Consider the following 19,170-nt stretch of genomic DNA (forward strand, 5'->3'; position numbering starts at 1 on the left):
CCGGGTTCAAGTGATTCTCCTGCCTCAGCCTCTTGAGTAGCTGGGACTACAGGCATGTGCCACCATGCCCGACTAATTTTGTATTTTTAGTAGAGACAGGGTTGCTTCATGTTGGTCAGGCTGGTCTCGAACTCCCAGCCTCAGGTGATCCACCTGCCTTGGCCTCCCAAAGTGCTGGGATTACAGGCCTGAGCCACCGCACCCAGCCTTAAATCAGATTTTTAATGCATACAAAATATATTTTAATTTATCTGGAATTTTAAATTTTCAGTGGCAGGGTTATTCAAAACATCTAATCTGTCACATTGTCAGAAATAGAGTAGTAAAGGTACTTTCTACTCTTGGCTAGAATTGTGAAAATACATAAAGAAAAATTTTGGTGGGACTAATAAAAGGCAGGCTCTCTGTATGTTCATTTTTCTTTTTTTAGGGTAATCACGGAATCCCAGGGTCATCTGGAGAAAAAGGAAATAGGGGAAATCGGGTAAAGTATGATGATATTCTTTCATTTTCCTGTTGAGTAACCTGATATGGATAGTTTATTTTTAAACTGTGGGAAACTGTGGGAAAAAAAAATCATCTAGTGGCTTAAACCCTATGGAGTTAAATGGAGAGTTAAAGGGCAATTAATATGAGATAGCTGTTTGGAAGCTTCACCTAAGATCTGACTCTGCTGATGGTAGAATGAGTAAAGTAAGTCCTGTGACTTAACATTTTGTGATTGAGAACAGTGATCATGTCACTCCCCATCTCACAAGCTTCTCATGGCTCCCTGTCACCGATGATTTAGTGTTACATCCAAGGCCTTTCAACCACATTCTTTACAAATCTCTGTCAAGAAATGTCTTCCTAGGCTCACTGTCTCTGAAATGTTGCTTATGCATGCCCACCTCTGTGTCTTTGCTCATGCCAGCTGCCTCTCCTGGAATGCCTTTTTCTTGGTTCCATATTCAGTGCTTAATCTGAATATCACCTTTTCCTCAATGGGCCCAGTTCCTCTCTTTCTTCCTCACAACAGCTTCCTTGGCATGTCAGTTTGTAGTGATCTTTGCCTTCTCTACATCCTTGCAATTATTTGTACTATCTGTTTGACAGTGATTACACACTTCCTCCTGATGGTAATTCTGTTTCCATGTAAGGGATGGCAGATACCTAGCATATGTCCCACAACCCTCCCTTCCTGTGCCCATGGCAGACATACTAACCATTTATGGGATCCAACATGGCTGAAGGATCCATCTTAACACAGTACTATAATCAGCTTCTATTGATTGATAGGATTAGACATAAAGGGTGTAATTTATTTGCTTATGCTTCTTTGTACTCCTCATGAAATTGGAGTAATGCTTTTACTCCAAAGGTGCACAATTAGTGTTGTGGATTGAATTCCTGATAGGTGAAACAGGGAGAGTCAGAAGACATGGCTCTTTATTGAGGTTTAATTTCTAACTTGAAGTTTATGGATCAGACTTTGGAGAAGGTGGGAGATACCATACTTTCTTAACACTGGAGAGCCTTCAGTTTCAGCTAAATTTAGTTAAATTCAATAAACACCTGTCAAGTGTTTATTGTCCCTACATGTGGGACATTTGCTAGATACAAAAAAGGGTTCCAAGATACATAAGCCATGGCTCTGACCAACAAAGAGCTTATTGAGTGTGCAGGAGATACAACTGGTACAGGAAAAACTATAATATGAGATAGGATAAGCTACAGGATGTAACAATGCTGCAAATAAAGAATGAATGGGAGCACAGTGACTTGGAGAGGAAACGAAAATAGATTCCCTTTTCTTCACTTGATCAATCATCAAAATTTATTGAGCATCTATTGTAATCAAGGCATGATTCTAGAATGGGGAACAAAAGAGACATGGGCTCTATCTCTTAGGATTGGCCTCTATGGAAAAAGATAGACATGAATGAAATAATCACAGAAATAGATATAATATTACTGCAGAGATAAAGGTATGGAAAGGAATACGACAGGGGATTTGACCCAGCCTGTGTAGTCAGAAAGGCTTCATTGAGGAGGAGATGGGATGAAATTTAAAAGATAGGTAACAGTTAAGGAAGAGAGAGGGGGGCAAGAGAACAACTTCTATATGAGCAGGTGCTGAAGGGTGGAGAGGACTCCGGCTTTCCAGAAAATGCAGGAAATCAAGACATTTTTCACTCAGACCTCTGTGAGAGGGACTGGGAGAGAGACACAGGGTATTCTAGTTTAAGAAAAGGGCTCAAGGAAAAGGTTAGAGTTAGAAGAAATCAGGGTAGGTCTGGAAAAATAAGGATCCTAATTTCATAGGAGTGGAGGATAAAATAAAAAGTATAAAGAGTGGGGAGAAAGCCTGAAAGGGCAATTTGGAGCCAGTTTAATGCTACTTTTGGGAGTTTTGTTTCTACTGAGTTATCAAGGGCTATTGAAGGTTTATAGGCAAGGAAGACACATGTTGGAAGCTGTAGGTTTGGAAGATTACTCTGAAAGTCCAGTGACTGGGTCAGATAAAGGAGGGTCTAGAAGTAGGGTGAATCATAATAGGAACCATATGCCTAAACAGTTGAATTTATTCTTCTATTTAATCCCTACACTGTTTCTATAAGTTAGGCACATCTGTTTCACAAATGAGAAAATGGAGTCTGAGAAAAGTCAAAGAAATTTACCAATGTAGGAAATTAAATAGCAGGATTGGAATCTACAGTTATCTAGCTCCCTTTTACCATTATATTAGGCCAGGAAAGAGATAAGGAGGCATCTCAAGTAAGATTATGAAGTGGCTTCTTTTGGAGTCTAGAGAACATTTTATTTCCTTTGTGTCTGAAAGCTAGAACAGTGATCCCATCTGTTAATCATGCACACCCTCCGGCTCCAGGCATGTGATGTCGTCTGAGGAAGGCACCTGTGGTGGAGCCTCTCCCCAGTTCATGGCTCTGTGGGCGCTACGACACAGGAATGGCACAGATCATGGCAGCATTTAAGAGAAGCATCATTTACTTGTCATAGTCCTATGGCAAGTTTCTTCACCCCTCTGTTTTCCTATCTGCAGTAGTCGGGAGCTCTGGAAACATTGTTCTCTCCTTTCTCTTTTTCGTGAGACCTTGCTCTACCGCTGCTGCCCATGCTCATGATGGAGAAAGCCCTTCTCACCACCACCCCCTTTTTAAGCAACAACAACAGCAACAACAACATGTGTTTCTGTGTGGAGCACCACCAAAGGGTGGAAAGATCAAGGAATTTGATGATAGGGAGACCTGGGCCCAACTTCCTAGAATCTCAGGTCCTGCATAATGCAAATTGGTGAATTCCTGAGTTGTGAGGGCTAAATGAGGTAATACACATCTAGGTCCAAGCATATGGCAGATAGCCAATAAAAGTATGTCCTTCTTTACCTTTCAATCTCACCCCCTTGGCAGTGAATGCTTTAAAATTCAAGTACTAAGTTGCTCTTTTCATTTGATTCTTATTTTCGCTCTTAATGTTCTCTTCTCTCTAGGCAATATGTGATTTTTAAAAGTGACACATTTTTTCTTTGTGATTTAAGGGCTTGACGGGACTGCCAGGACAACCTGGAGAGCGTGGAGAGCCTGGGTTAAGGGGAGATCCTGTGAGTGATGTTGGGGGATTTCTGCTGCTTTAATTCCAGGGACTGGAGAACTGTTTGCTCGTGACACAAAGGCAACGAGCAATTAATTATTCATTAATAAAGCATCTGCTCACCCTATCTTAGTATTGCAACAAATAAAAGATTTGAGGGAAAACTTATAGAAAAGTTGAGTTCTTAAAAAGGTTGGAATTTTAATTGGATTAAAAGTCTAAGATTTTTGAGCAGGCCCAGACAATAAAAAGGGTCCACTTTAGTTGTACCTTATTTTTTTGTTTTGTTTTGTTTTAAATAATTCTTCCTATAATTTCTTTTCTGTCCATTTGAGGTAATGAACCCTTTATTTTCTCAGGGGGATCCTGGAACTAATAGCTATATCCAAGGCCCTAAGGGAGAAAAAGGAAGGCGTGGGCGTCAGGTAAGATGTTCTGTTTCCTTGAGGGGCTACATGGGAACGGATGCTAGCTGGGGCAGAGGACTTGGGCATTCCGGTAGGATCAGCATAAAAAACCAGAGAGCAAGCCTGTGGGAATCCACTGTCTATGGAGATAGAAGCTCTGAATGCCAATCTCCACTGACATCCTCGTCCTTGCATACTTAATTCATAGTTGTTTTTTTCTATACGAATCCTTTCTCCTACAACATTACATCTTTTGTCCTTGGTTTCCTCATCTCCAAAATGAAAGCACCAGACTCAATAATGCCTAAGATATTTCTGGTTTCTAAATTCTCTATCTTTATAATGATGTATTGATTTAGAAGGTACTCAGGGTCATTACAGTGCTGGCTTGCTTTCTGTCACAGCCAGTGCTGATTGATGTGAACTGGGTATTAGCCATTTTTTAAGGTGAAATCCTTGCCTAGTTCTGAAAACTAGAAGCATTGTGATAGAAGGCATCACAGAAGCAAAAAGACTTGTTAACTTTGATCGATGTTAACTTCTTGGCAGCCATTTTTAGATTTTCATGTCCCAGACATTAAAATGTATGATTCTGAAAAATGACTAAAATAACCCAAGTGCTTCAGTCCTCATATCTTCCCTAATTTCCAGGCATGAGGTCTGCATAGAGAAACGTTTGCAGCTAGAGAGGAACCTCTATTACTTTGAACTCCAGTTTTTCATCCTTTGACAAAATTATAGGACATTGGCTCTCTTCTGTAGCTAGTTTGCATTCCTTTTACATATGTCTAGATCCTGAGTTAAATGCAGTTTGTAACAAGATGATTATTATGTTGCTGTGTGAGAAAACCAGCATGACTTGCTGCAAGAATCTCATCCTGTTGTTAATTGCAGTTGTTTTGGACAAACCCCATTGAGAGGGTGTCCTGTGGTGAGTTGACATCAGAGAGCCCTGTGAACAGCCACTCAATCGGCTATGGAACTGAGCTAAGGGAGCAGCAGGACAGCAACCCTTAACCCATGTGGGCCCCGGTTTCATCTGGAAGGAGGGAAGGAAGATAGAGAAACCATTTCAAAGCTTCCATGAGTTGTGGTTGTTGTGAGAAGAAAGATCATGATCTGTCTATTCAGACTGGTTCTCTTATTTGCTCAAGGTTTTACTGCTGGGAAGGAACCTAGGCCTCTAGACAAACTGTCCAGTGCTGTGTACATCAGAGCACTGCAGACACAGCAAGAGCCGCATGTTCACAGCTTTCTGAGGTCTCCATCACTGAGTTTAGCCAAGGGTTAACCTTGATCACCAGATCCCTACTTGTACATGCAAACAAAAATTGTAACCCTCTGGGGCAGTGCTGTGACATATTCCATTTGTGTTCCCCATGGTTTCTGCTCCCATGCTGGGCCAAAAAACGGTGGTAACTAAATATCCTTTGAATAGACTTAGATAACAGAAATCACTCCCACCAGCTATATTACCCTGAAGCTGGTAGATGCTGACATTCTAGCCTGAGCTTGTCCAATTCACTGCCCATGGGCAGTATGTGGCCCAGGATGGCTTTGAATGCAGCCCAACACAATTTGTAAACTTTCCTAAAACATTATGAGATTTTTTTCTCTTCTCTTCTTTTTCTTTTCTTTCTTTCTTTCTTTCTTTTTTTTTTTAAAGCTTATCAGCTATTGTTAGTGTTAGTGTATTTTATGTGTGGCCCAAGACAATTCTTCTTCCTCCAATGTGGCCCAGAGAAGCCAAAAGATTGGACACCCCTGTTCTAGCCTGTTAAGTGCTGTTGGGAGATAGCTCTCTAGGGGGCAACGGCTCCTTTCTGACATGAACCAAAGAGTGGCTTAAATGTTGCAGTCTGGATGGAGAGGTTTTCCTGATGAAGCAGTCTTTCTGACCAAGCAGAATAATTTTATTATATACCTAATATTGGAGAAAGCGTGGAGAGCCAATCATACCAGTCAGAAGTGAGAAAGTAACACTTCTGGGGAGAATGAAAGTCAATACAACCTTTTCGGGAGGCAATAGGCAATGCACATCAGTCATCAGTTAGGATTACTGGTTTTTTTTTTTTTTTAATGTTTTTAAATATACCAATGAAAGCCTGACTAGCAGTGTTTAGCTAATAAATGTGTTTTATAACCCAGGGATAGGTGATGACAACTTTGGCACATCAGTTTATGGTCCCATCGAACCTCAGTGATGTCGTCAGGGACCCGGCGCCTTTCCTCCCACACTGCCATCCTCAACGTGTCAGCTTTCGGTCCCTAGGTTTAGCAGCTCCAAGTGTTTTTTTGTCTTCACCTTTACATAAAATGTCAGGAGAAAAGGGGCTTTCCTTTCATCAAATTACTCCCAGCAATATTCTCTTTATAGCTCATTAGCTAAAATAGACCCTGTGCTCCCCAACAGCCCTTGCCCCATTTCAAGAGATCCAGAGAAAGCAAGTCTCTAACAAAAGGAAATGGGATCATCACAGTTGGCTTAGGCCTGTTCATCCCCTGGAGCTGGGTATGTCGTTGCTCCAAACAAAACTAAAAAGACCAGATTTTCTTAGCACAGAGGAAGGGAGGGCCTGTTTTGTAGGCCACCAACTGAGTCTGCCACAGCTTTAAGATGTGTATGTCGGCTGGGCATGGTGGCTCACACCTGTAATCCCAGCACTTTGGGAGGCCAAGGCAGGCAGATCACGAGGTCAGGAGATCGAGACCATCCTGGCTAACACGGTGAAACCCCATCTCTACTAAAAATACAAAAAAATAGCCGGGCGTGGTGGCTGGCACCCATAGTCCCAGCTACTCGGGAGGCTGAGGCAGGAGAATGGCGTGAACCCGGGAGGTGGAGCTTGCAGTGAGCAGAGATCACACCACTGCACTCCAGCATGGGTGACAGAGCGAGACTCTGTCTCAAAAAAAAAAAAAATTAAAAAAATAAAAATAATAAAAATAAAAGGATGTGTATGTAATTTGATCTACCCTTTCTAGTCCTAGAAATTTATCTGTACGCTAATCATGGTGCAACACAAAGATTTAGCTCCAAGGATGGTCATTGCAGTGATTTTTAAGGTAGTAAAACATTGAAAATATTTAAATATCTAATAATAAAGGAATATTTATGTAAACAATGCTCTTCCACACAGTGGAATAGTATTAGGCCATGAAACATAATGTAGAAGATGATTTCATGATATGGAAAACATCCATGATGTAATATCAAGTGAAAAAAGCAGGTTGCAACCCTGTATTTAACCTGAGTCCAAATTTGTAGAATATTTCTATATTGCCAAAATTGTGTATTTCTTTTTTATTAATTTCGATTTTTATTTTAGATTCAGGGGATAATGTACAGGTTTGTTACAAGGGTATATTGCATGGTACTGAGGTTTGGGCTTCCGTCACCAAAGTAGTAAACATAGTACCCAATAGGAAGATTTTCACTCCTTGCCCCACTCCTCCCTCCCCTTTCAGAGTCCCCTGTGTCTATTGTTCCCATCTTTATGTCTGTGTGAACCCAAGATTTAACTCCCACTTATAAGTGAGAACATGTGGTATTTGGTTTTCTATTTTTGCATTAGTTCATTTAGGATAATGGCCTCCAGCTGCATCCATGTTGCTGCAAAGGACATAATTTGGTTCTCTTTTATGGCTGAGAGTGCGTGCACTTTACATGGGACACAGTGTCCATTGTCAGCACCCTCAGTTCCTTCAGAAGGAGTGGGTTACAACTTTTTTCAGTATTTGGTAGAACTGGGTTTGTCCTTCAGCTCACTTACGGTGGAGGCTGTGGAATTGCCAGCCTGTATCTATTCCCTTGTATGGAATAAAGAAACAGAGATAAGAAGGAAGGAATAGAAGTAAGAAAGAAGGAATGTAGAAAGGAAGAAAGGAAGGACGGGGAGGGAGGGAGGGAAGAAAGAAAGGAAGTGAAAGGAGAGAGAAAAACCAACTTGTTTGTAGCAGCAACATGCCAGCCCCTAGTGTTTCTTTACCTTAATTTTATTCTCTGTATTGTTGAAATAGTCCATGATGAACCTGTTACTTTTTATCCTCTTCATTCTGAAAAATTTCAAATCTACAGAAAAATGTAGTTGTAAGTCTAAACACCAATTTTTATCCTTTAGCTATATTTGCTTTATATCTCTTTATACAAATACTTAAGGGTCTGTGTGTGTGTAACTGAGCTAATTGAGGATTAATTAAAGGCTTCATGAGAATTTGCCTCTAAATATTCAACAAGTATATGTTAAGAAAAAGGATATTCTTCTATATAAACATAATATAATCATCACCCTCATGAAATTCAATATTTATACAATATTCTTTTCTTTCTTTCTTCTTTTTTTTTTTTTTGAGATGGAGTCTCACTGTGACACCCAGGCTGGAGTGCAATGGCTCACTGTAACTTCCGTCTCCTGGGTTCAACGATTCTCCTGCCGAGAGCAGCTGGGATTACAGGCACCCGCCAACACACTGGCTAATTTTTGTATTTTTAGTACAGATGGGGTTTCACCATATTAGCCAGGCTGGTCTCGAACTCCTGACCTCAAGTGATCCGCCCGCCTCAGCCTCCCAAAGTGCTGGGATTACAGGCGTGAGCCACTGTGCCCAGCCAATATTATTTTCTAATACACAGTCCATATTCAAATTTTCCCACTTGCCCCATGTCTTAGGCAGTTTGGGCTACTGTAACAGAATTAATAGAGTGGGTGGCTTAAATAACAAACATTTATTTCTCATAGTCCTGGAAGCTGGGAAGTCCGAAATCAAGGTCCTGGAAGATTCAGTGTTTGGTGAGGGACTGCTTCCTGGTTCATAGCCATCTTCTTGGCTGCAACCTCACATGGCAGAAGGAGAGCTATAGTGTTCCTTCAAGCCTCTTTTATAAGGGCATTAATCCCACCATGAGGGTTCCCCCCTCATAGCCTAATAACCTTCCAAAGGCCCCACCTCCTCATACCATCACATTGGGGATTAGGATTTCAACATATGAATTTTAGGGGAACACAAACCTTGAGTCCGTAGCACCCCAATAATGTCCTCTGTGGCTGCTGCTGTTGTTCCAGGATCCAGCTGAGGACTATGCGGTGCCTTTAGTTGTCCTGTGTCGTCAGTGCCCTTTCATCACATTTGCTCAGTTATTTGTTTACATGACACTGACACTGTACACCAGTTATTTTGCTAAACACCCCTCAATTAGGATTTGTATGATTGTTTTCCCATAACTAGATTCAGGCTAAATACTTTTGGTATTATAGCACAAACTTTTATGTACTTTAAAAACTTTTGAAAAACATAGTTTTTAATTGTTGCATTCTATTTCAATAAGTGTTTCTGCCATAATTTGATCAACACTTCCCTCATGTTGTGGGATGTTTAAATTGTTTCAGAATTTAATCTATTATGAATAACAGTTGGGTGAACAGCTTTGCACAAAACGTTTTTGTTTCTGTTATTTCACACTCTTTCCCTATTTATGTATTCCTATTGAGTTAGCATGTAACTTTATGAAATAATTATCTGAGGTACCCCTACTTGGGATCCCACATGGTTTCCATTTTTCTTAAAAGATAGACTCATTTTTTTCTCTGGACAATACTCATTTTTCCACTTCTGACCCCAAAGAAATGAGAACACTAGACTCTTTCCTCACTGTGACTATATAACCTCTTTCTCTCTCTGTCAGCATCTGTATATATTGATCACCCATGTCTTCAGAGAGACGCTTTTCTACCTTCTGTTTCTATCTGCCACTCAGGACCCTAAATGATACAGGTAGAAAGAGAAGTGCCAATATTTTCAAATATTAAGCATGGCTGTGTTCCCAGCGTGATGAACTGTGAGGAGTCATCAAAGGAACAATCTCTGGGGAAAGATGCCTACAACACTGATATTTTGAAACATCAGCATTTAATGCCATTTGCTTCTTGAGGAGCACTGACCAACAGAACATTCTGAGATCATGGAAATATCCTGTGTCTGTACCGTCCAATGTGGTAGCCACTAGCCATATGGAATTATGGAACACTTGGAATGTGGTCAGCATAACAAAGAAACTACATCTTTAATTTGGTGCGAATTTAAGTGCTACATCTACCTAGTGCCTTCTGTATTGGACAAAAAGTTTTGCTAGCGTTTGTTGTTGTTTGTTTCTGATCTTCCCTTTATTTCTTACTTTTCAGGGAAGTTCTAATGTTGATGGACCTCAGGGAGAAACTGGAAATGTCGGCCCTTGGGTAGGTGTTAACAGCTGGAGGGATGTATTTCCCCTGCGTTTGTGGAAGAGGATGGTAGGCTGGGGTGAAAATTGGTTTATATCCTTCTCTAAGGTCTCTGCTTTCCATTTTTCTTAGGGGACAATAGGAAGGCGAGGTCTGCCAGGATTAAAGGTCAGTGCTTTCTGGAAAGAGTTGCTCTTTGTTCCACACATATGACTACTGTATTTATTATTGATACATAATATCTGCACATATTTATGGGGTACATGTGATATTTTGATACATACATAGAACATATAATGATCACACCAGGGTATTTAGGATATCTATCACCTCAAACATTTATTATTTCTTTATATTAGCAACATTTCAAATATTCTTTTCTAGCTATTTTGAAATGTACAATATATTGTTGTTAACTATAGTCACCCTACTGTACTATCAAACACTAGAACTTATTCCTTCTATGTGACTGTATGTTTTACGCATTAACCAACCTCTTTTCATTCTCCCTACCCTCAACCCCCCTTCTCAGCCTCTGATAACTGTCATTCTACTCTCTACCTCATGAGATCAACTGTTTTAGCTCCCACATGTGAGACAGAACTTGTGATGTTTGTCTTTCTGTGCCTGACTTATTCCATTCAACATAATGACTTTTAGTTCCATCCATGTTGCTGCCAATAACAGGATTTCATTCTCCTTTATGGCTGACTTTTATTTCACTGTGTGTATGTATCACATTTTCTTTATCTGCTCATCTGTTGGTGGAAACTTAGGTTGATTCCACATGTTTGCTATTGTGAATAGTGCTGCAATAAGCATGGGGTGCAGGTAACCCTTTGATATACTGACTTTCTTTTCTTTGGGTAAATGCCCATTAGTGGGATTTGTGGATCATATAGTAGTTCCATTTTTAACTTTTTGGGAAATCTCTATATTGTTTTCCATAATGACTGTACGAACTTATATTCTTACCAAAAATATGTATCCCTTTTCTCTGCATCTTTGCTAGCATTTGTTGTTTTTTGCATTTTTGATAAAAACTATTTAACTGGGATAAGATAATATCTCATTGTGGTTTTCATCATCAGTGATGTTAAACATTTTTTCATATACCTATTGGCCATTTGTATGTCTTTTGAGAAATGTCAGTTCAGATATTTTGCCCATTTTTTAATGGGATTGCTTTTTTTTTTTTGCAATTGAGTTGTTTGTTCCTTGTATATGCTAGATATTAGTCCGTTGTCAGGTGAATAGTTTGCATGTATTTCCTCCCATTCAACAGGTTGTCTCTTCACTCTGCTCATTGTTTTTTTTTTTTTTTCGGTTCAGAAGATTTTTGTTTAATATAGTCCCATTTGTCTATCTTTTATGGCTTCTTTAAATTGTTCTCTCTGAGGTCAAGGAGAGTGCCGGCTGGGCTGTCTGAGGTTGCATGAGGTTCATTGAAAGTTTCCATGGCGATTTTTTTCATGAAAAAGGGAAAGTTTATATGGTTCTCTGCCTCCTCCCCACCTTGCTATAATGTTTCATTTAGATTGAAAAGAAGCTAATATCCTAATATCTTAGAGTAGGACTTTCATTTCTATTATTTATTTCATTTATTTCTGTTTCATTGCTCTATATGCCTATTTTTATACCAGTACCATGCTGTTTTGCTGACTATGGCCTTATAGTGTAGTTGATTTTTAAAATAAGAGATATAGTTACAAATATTTTCAGGCTTCAGGATGAACTGGGTTTATCCACCATGTCAGTGGTTTGCTAGTTGACTCAACATTGGAGCACTGGTCATATAGGCTCATAACTCCAAATTACAGCATTCCTTGGACTTTGGGAAAATCTGGCTCAGTATTATCTACAAAATTAGATCTGCTGGCCTTTGCAAGATGTATAATAAAGTGGAATTCTAAGTATAATTTTATTTATGGAAAAGGTTATATTTATGCCAAACAAATTGATGCATTCCTTTTTTGGCAATAAGGCAAGATTTTAAACTTGCTGTTTATGATAAAATTGAGAATGTTATTAATTTTTTTAAAGGTACATAAACCCACCACCCCTCGGCAAGTATTTTCATGTTTTTCTGTTCTCTTGTATAAAAAATAAAGGATTATTATAATGTAGATAACATTTTATATTCTGCTTTTTCCTGTTTCCAAATCTCCCTATTATCATTTTAGAACATTATGTTTTACTCTATTGAAGTACCATGATTTACTAATCTTTCTTATGTTGAGCATTTAGGTAATTTCTGTTTTGTTGGGTATCGTGGTAATTGATGTGAAGAACGTCAGTGACGTGTATTATAGGTTTTTTGTTTTGTTTTCACTTTTGCTCCACTCATATTATTTTCTTAATATAAATGTATAAGCATAGAGTTATGATAGAGTCTGAACATTGCTATATATAGCCACATTGTTTTTATAAATGTTGCACTATGAATATCACTAATGTGATATGCAAATTAGACCACATTTCATAACCTGGTTCAAAATTTCTAGCTGTATTCCTTTTAAAATTTGGTTCATATTTATAAATCTAGAAATCAACTCTTAAAGAGCAGAATAACATAACAGGAATGATTAATAGAAGTACTGAATAGTTTCAAAAACTGATGAAGCACAAGTAATTGATCCACATATTTATTAAATTCTGACTTTGAAGTTTTTGCTCTTTGCATATCTATGAATAATTAATAATCTAGTCAACATGTGAGCAACATGAAAAAGAAGGCAGAACAATTCACAAAATGGATGTTATCCTCAATCTTGGAAAACATATCTTCTCTGAGAAATGAAAATATTAATTTGTGGGATAAATTAAATCAGTTATAGAATGAATCATTTTAACAACTCATCCTTTGCCTAGAGAGCTAGCTTCTTGCCATCAAGGTCTGTAGGGTTTTAAAGCCACTTTCCTGTTATTTTCCCAAGCACTTTTTGTGCCTTTGTCTCAGAGTGTCATGTTTATTGTTGTGATCAACATTCTGAGTTTCCTTGTATGAAATAAAAGACCTTAATGCCCTTGAACGTTTAGTCTGTATGCCTTAAAAGGAAGGACTGTTTAGGAACCAGTTATTACACAAAATACGAATTTGGGTTATTTAAACAAAGTATTTTTGCTCCCATCACTAGCTGAGACATTGGAAGGAGATGTGCAAAGACTGGGAAAGGCCTTAAGAATCTGGTCTTGCCTTTTCCCAAGATAAGTGTAAATACCCACATTTCCCCTTCAACTTCATCTCCTAAGAGGATTGATCACAACCAGTCCAATCTTGTTTGAGTCTTTCTCTTGTGGTTTCAAGTGATATATTGCAGGAAAAGCTGCTTTCAATAAGAACACTAAAGATGGCTGGTGAACTCACTATAAGTTTTATTCATTTTGACAGGGTGTGCCTGGAGAATCTGGTGAACAGGGTTACCAAGGAGAGCTTGGGTATCCAGGCTCACAGGTTGTATCTGGGAGCTTGGTTTTAGTGCTGAAGGATATTTGTTTGAAATTTTAACTTATTGTTTGATAATAATTTAACATAAATCAGAATGGCTTTGGATGCCTCCTTTCCAGGGCCTCCCAAAGAAAATTGTATAGCCCCTTTTCTGAAAAGATTAAACCACAATAGCTAATATTTATTGACCTCTATGTTCTAGACACTGTCTAAAGCACTTGTATTAACTAATTTAATTCTTCAATGGGAGGGAAGTTATTATCCTCATTTTACAGGAGAAAAATAAAGAGGGAATGGAGAAGTTAGGTAAATTGGCAAAGGTCACACAGCTAGTGAGTGATAAAGCTGGGATTCAAACTCAGGCAGTATAGTTACAAAATCAGTGCTCTTGATTACTGCCTCTGAAGCTGTGTATTCAAATATTATTTAATTTGCTGAAATTGTATTTATATCTTGGCATAGTGGTGTGCACCTTTCATCCCAGCTACTTGGGAGGCTGAGGCAGGAGGGTCACTTTGAGCCCAGGAGTTCAAGGACGCAGTGAGCTATGATGGTGCCATGGCACTCCAGCCTGGGCAACAGAGTGAGACCCCATCATTCAATTTGGTAGGAAAAAATCAGTAAAGTGTTTACAGAGTATGTATTATGCACAGGGAACTGCTAATAGACCTCGGACATTCATACCATTAAGGCAAGGGTCCTGCCCTCAAGAAGTTCATCCAGTGGGGTTTTGTTAGGTTATCAAATGATAACTGGAAATTTAAACTTTCAACCTGTTCTTTTGGCATCGTCTAAGCATAACCCAAATCTGTCATTCTATAGCCCTTCTGGAGCACATTATATGTATTTATTTTAAAAAACAAATTGTTTTTAAGTATACTCAAATTGAAGAACTTCGGAACAACAAATTTTACTAATATATCAAATCATTCTCCATAATTAAAAATCCTATGAGTGTCAGATGATAATTTCAGAAGGTATCTGCTGCTCTTAGACTTGCTAAGGGAACTAAGGAAAAAAAAATGGTAGTTAACGTGTAATTAGAGATTATACTTATTTTATGATGGAAAATAGCATCTGAACTGAAGGGAAAGCAACTAAAAGATGTATATTTTTCCCTTTTCTTTTTGATGACTGGCTCAGGACCCTCTACCACTGTTGTGTCGCTGCTTTCCTGTCTATACCCACTTCATTACACAGCTGATTGGAAGTGAAGCAAGTCATGCTGGGAACCATGAGCAAGATAATCAATAAAACCTCTCCTTAATTCTCACCTTCCCGCTGGGATGTGAGTGTGATGGTCTATTTAAATAGATGATTATCAATACCTCACTTAGGAGAGTAGAAGCCATAGTCAATCAATACTTCTAATAGGAAAGTGTTTCTCAGAAAAGCTGGGAAAATATTAAAGTGTCAAAAATCAGCAAAGTAAAATAGATTGGAGAGAAAATGAGCAAATCCCAGCAGTGTAGTCAGTGAGATTAAGCTACTTAAATGCACCCTTGGCTCTTGATCAAATCGAAAACACAATCTCTTGTCCTTAACCCTTGTGTGTATAAGGAAAAGGTTCATTCTTCAATGGAGATCAATAGCCTCGCTGCCCTCTCATCACCCTTTTAGAATTTAAAATTGGTTGAGTGAATTCAAAAATAAAAGCAATGTTCTCAAACTGTAGTACTCATCAGATTCACCCGGAGAGATTGCTAAAAATAGAGACGCTGAGGACTCGCATCCTCTGCTTCAGATGGCATGAGTTTGAAGTGAGTGTTCTGGGGTGCTTCAGAGTGCAGATGCTCCCTGATTAAAGTTTGATAAATGAGATAGTGATGGGTCAGGGCACCTTAATTTGTGCTTCCATTGGCATCCAAGGTGATTTTGTGGTTACATGGAATATAAATGACTCTTTAAAAATTGGTTGCATTTTAATTTCATCTTTGGATCAGGGACCAAGAGGAAGGCAAGGACCACCAGGAACTTCTGGACAAAAAGGCTTAGTGGGTGCTCAGGTAGGTTTGTAAAACAGCTACAATGCAGCTACTCATTAACACTGGCTGATTCATACCCCTGAGTGTTCCTGGATAAATAACATAAAGTCACACTGTTTGTTCTGGGATATGGGGATATCAGGAATTTCTAGAAAAGCTAATTTGATGCAGTAGATATTGATCATCTGCTATGTATCTTCTTCTACCCTAGGTAAGTTTTGGGAATATAGTGACCAATGAGATATGGGTTTAAACCTCGAGGGTATGTAATATAAGTTCATATTTAGCTATAGTAAAAGATGACATAATGGTACCATATAAAATTATAAATAACTAATCTGCTCCTTACAAATATGTAAGGAAGCATTACTATACCAATTTTATAGATAAGGAAACTGAGGCTAAGGGGAATTAAATGACTTGTCATCCGGATAGTAAGTGTCTGAACTGACTTCCAACTTGGTTCTTTCTAGTGCCTGCTTTACTCCCCACCTAATATCTTGATGGTTCATAGGATGCTTGGATAGATTGAGACGGATGATTAGATTGGCTTCCTGAGGAAATGAGCATTTGAGATGGCTTAGAAACATAAGCAGCATGATTAGAGTCAGGAATGAGTCTCCATCAGGAAACTGAAAATAGCAGCTCAAAGATGGCCAAAGCAATAGTTCTGCTATTTTTCTGCCTTGATCAGGAAAGAAAATCTAGCCTTATAACTGATTATATTATTGTCAATCTCAGTTGAAAATATCTTCAGTTTGGAGCAGGTGAAAGTCTAGGCTTTTGTTTTCCTGATCTCTTAATCAAATAATGTTTCCCTCTGTAGCATAGAAATGATTCCTTCAATTCTCAGTATGTGGTAGATGTGGCCTCCTGCTCCCCTATCCTAACCCCCCCAGCCCATAGTGTGTGTATATTATGCATTTTGAATGTTGGAGGATAGAATTAATTAATTGTATTAAATACTAAAGGTTAAACTCCCATCTCTAAGGTGATTCATGAGCATATTACCAGTTACAGAGTATTTCAATAATAACAACAGAGACAGACAGTTAACTTTGTGGCCCTGGTGGTGATTTTGGCCACGGTCTTGTTGCAGGGGAATCCTGGGCCTCCAGGGCCAAATGGTTCAAAAGGAAAAGCTGGACCAAGAGGAGTGAAGGTAAATGTCAGAGAACACGCTCTTTCTTGATTGTAGCTTGAGAGAACCCCTTGGGTTTTCTTAAACAAATCTTTACTTATATCATCACTTCCAGCATACATTTCTGATATGGTTGGTGATGCTATTGATTGAAGGCAAGGCATATAGATGAACATATAGAAAAATGAATCACATGTTTAAGTAGACAAAGATGTATCAACAGATAGATATACATATGGATTCACCACAAATATAAATGTGCACATCCAAATTTAGAAAAAGACATAGTAATATAAAATTCTGTAATTGTTGTTGCATACCTGGTGCTGCTAATTTTCGGTACCAAAATTGTTACTATGTTTGTTAGTCATCCATATTTAACAAAGCCTAGAGAAAAGTATTTACCTTAGGCTGTATGGCATGCTACCAAAACTTGAAAGCAGTGACTGTAAAATCTCTAAGGAAAATGACACAAAATTACATAATCTCACAGAAGAAAATTAATTAGATATTTTCTCTTTATAATAAAAGGGAGAGATTGGTGATGTAGGAGAAAGAGGCCCACAGAGTCGACAAGGACCAAGAGGGCAACCTGTAAGTCCAGTTTCTCTGTTTTGGATTCTTGATTGAATTTGTTTGCCATTTGTTCTTGTTTTACATAAAATTCTAATGTTTTAAATGTATGCAACCACTTTTATTCAGTTCAGAATATAGGTACCAGAGACAAGAAATCAGGCAAATCAGGGAGATATAGTCTAAAAAATCTCAGTGTGCACTAAGCCGAATTTTGATGGAGTCATCTACCACAGCATTAAAGTGTCTTATCCATATTTTAGATGCTGGTAAGAAATTATGAAAAAAGAGGTTTGATAAACAAAAATGGCATCAACTTGATGTAATAAATTGAAATGGCTTTAACATCATTGCTGTGAACACAAAATTTTAATATTCTTGATGAGTTAAACTCATGGTTCCAAATATGACATGACCACCAGAGCTCTTAAGAATCAAAACAGTCAAAGTTTCTGAGACTTCTTGTATAAATTAAGAATCTAAAGATGACTTGGAATTTATTTTGCCTTCTCACATATTGAAGAGCAAAGTGCCAATGTCTCTCATCTGTTTGACAATGATATTTTATAAGCATTTGAGTCTTTTAGGAATACAGAGATGTTCAGTGAAACATTTTTTTTCCAGGGCAACAAATAAGGCAGCCAGATCAGCAAACTTTTAAGAGTATGGGTTTGATTATCCAGAGCATAGAAATAATCTTTGGAGACCAAAGATCATAAAAGATTTCCTTTTACAAGACAATACTTTCAAACGCAGGGCTATGCATTTTTACCTTAGTTATCACCCCGAACAGGAGAGCAAGTTAGCTATTTTATGACTATTTTCAAAAGACATCTCGAAAAATACAGAGTTTGGGTCTTGGGGGTTGCAGATGCTGGAGGTTCTGCACATCCTTCAGCAAGGACAAGATGGAGTAACAGCAAATGAACTTCATTATCACCGCCCCATGGCCCCTGCCAAGAACTCATTTTTGGCAATCTTCTGTCTTATTTTTCTTTCTTTTCTAGTCTTTCAGACTTTCCTATTTAGACCATAGGAATCTTTTTGTGACTTCAGATTTTTAATTTTTCTTCTCAACTGATCTACCTGGTTTAGGGGAACTCTGTCCATTCAGAAAAAACACCTATAGGGTTTTGAATTTACTCTTTATTACAGTAAGCTCATTGTCTGTCTATACAGATGCTAAGCTCCTTGGTAGTATCACCAATTTCATGATTATTATCATCACCACCACTGCAACCTCCACCATCATTATCTTCAGCAATAACATCAAAACTACCAGCATAATCACCACCATCACCATCACCACCGTCACCATCAGTACCACCATTACCATCATCACTATCACCATCACCACCACCACCACTACCATCATTACTACCACTACCACTATCACAATTATCATCACCACCACTACCACCATCACTATCACCATCATCTTCATTATTACCACCACCATCACCATCATCACTACCACCAACACCATCATCACCATTGCCACCATCATCATTACTATCACCATCACTATCATCAATCACCATTGCTACCACTATCACTACCATCACCACCACCTTCACTATTATCATCAGCACCACTATCATTACTGCCCTCCTCCGACACCATCATTACCACTGCTACCACCAGCAGCAGACTAATTACCATCTATCAAGTACTGCCTCTGTGCCTGACATTGTGCTAAGCACTTTTCATACACAATCTCACTTAATCTTCCCAACAAGTATACAATGTAAGATGATACTATTATCCCTATTTTACAGATTAGGAAACTGAAGTTTATAGAGGTTGT

The 19,170-nt window shown here is 38.5% G+C and overlaps 1 pseudogene across 1 annotated transcript in view; it reads left to right on the top strand.

The window, feature by feature from the left end:
* Positions 1-19,170, top strand: part of COL6A4P2 (collagen type VI alpha 4 pseudogene 2) — a 60,987-nt pseudogene that overhangs the window by 5,019 nt on the left and 36,798 nt on the right. Inside the window, exons 4-11 of the transcript NR_027898.1 lie at positions 431-484; positions 3,539-3,601; positions 3,951-4,016; positions 10,178-10,231; positions 10,349-10,384; positions 15,608-15,670; positions 16,749-16,811; positions 17,322-17,384. The product of NR_027898.1 is annotated as a collagen type VI alpha 4 pseudogene 2 (transcript). The remainder of the gene's footprint in view (positions 1-430; positions 485-3,538; positions 3,602-3,950; positions 4,017-10,177; positions 10,232-10,348; positions 10,385-15,607; positions 15,671-16,748; positions 16,812-17,321; positions 17,385-19,170) is intronic.

The sequence above is a fragment of the Homo sapiens genome, chromosome 3 (assembly GCF_000001405.40).
Source record: "Homo sapiens chromosome 3, GRCh38.p14 Primary Assembly".
Classification (NCBI taxonomy): Eukaryota; Metazoa; Chordata; class Mammalia; order Primates; family Hominidae; genus Homo; species Homo sapiens.